The sequence below is a fragment of the Homo sapiens genome, chromosome 13, assembly GCF_000001405.40.
Source record: "Homo sapiens chromosome 13, GRCh38.p14 Primary Assembly".
In the NCBI taxonomy this organism is placed as follows: domain Eukaryota; kingdom Metazoa; phylum Chordata; class Mammalia; order Primates; family Hominidae; genus Homo; species Homo sapiens.
In genome coordinates, this window is record NC_000013.11 from 36642900 (window position 1) to 36644283 (window position 1384).

The following is a 1384-nucleotide window of genomic DNA, read 5'->3' on the forward strand; positions in this document are numbered from 1 at the left end:
TCCCTGTCCTTGTCTAGTTGGAAGAGACAAAGAAGAGCGCATGTGGGTTAGGAGGCAGAGAGAAGGAAGATGTGCAGGAGATGAGGTGGGACCTGCAGAGGCTGGAACACAAAGGGCCTATTCTCACTGGCCAAGAGGCTTATACATCATCCAATGGCATGGAGAGCAACTGAAGGAAGTTGGGCAGAAGAGTAACGTCAGTTTTGTTTTAAAACTCTAGTTCCACATAGCAGCATGAAAGATGAATTAAATGAGATCAGAATGGAGGCAAGCATTTTAGTTAGGGAGCTAAATTACACTAATCCAGGAGAACGATGATGAGGGCCTACATCAAGGTAGTGGATCGGGATAAAAAAGAGACTGAATGCAGAAATATCTCCTAGAGAAAATCAACAGATTTAGTGTTGAAGAGATTGAGGAAGCGATTGGAGAGGAAGAGGAAAGAATCAATGAAGATTCTCAAAGGTACGGCTCACTGAGTTTACCTTGGCGTTTTAGAGGTAGCTGGTATTGAAGAAAAAAAGAGCACCTACAGGCTTTGACTGTGGACAATATTTGTTTCCCTTGACTCTACCTCTTAGCAGCAATGAACAAGTCATGTTGATTTCTTAAACTTCAGATTCTTCATCTGTAAAACAATGATTATTTTTTCTTAGGATTTTTAAATGAGAATTCATAAGATTATATAAGAAAAGAGCTTGCTATTGCCCCTGTAACAAAACTGGAGTTACATCAGTCAAGGTTCAGTGCAGAAAACAGAAACCACACAAAGTCTACCAAGCAAAAAGGTGTTAAGTTCAGGGAACTAGATGCCTCTAAAATAATTGGAAGGACTGGAAAACAAATGTCAGGGTTGTTAAGCTTTTAATCACACCACTGCAAGTATAATCCAGAGATCAGGAAACTGATTTGCTGCCACACAGGTGGAGAGGCTTCAGGAAACTACTGCCAATGTCACAGACATTCTGCAGCCCCAGAACTGTTGATCAGCAGTGAAACATGAAGCCCAGTCACCATAAAACTTATGTCTGCCAAGGGCCACGTGTTCACCACCACTTCTGCTGTCAGGAGAATGTCTCTGCTTCCCTTCCACCTCTCAAACACAAGCAAGCGTATTTCTTTGATACAGCATAATTGCATCCAGAACTCTACTACATGTAACTAATTCCCAGGTTTCTGGCTCCTGCAGTATTGGGCAGAGCATAGAATATGGTGGAAATGGATGATTACCAACAAATAATACCCAGCTCAGGCCTTAAGAAATATAATTTTAGTTATAGTGCTCATCTGAACAGGAAGAAAGCAGGTTTAGGAGTGGAGATGGTGAATTCAGTTTGGGACATTTTGACTTTGAAGTGCCTCTGGGACATCCAGACAGTTGTAT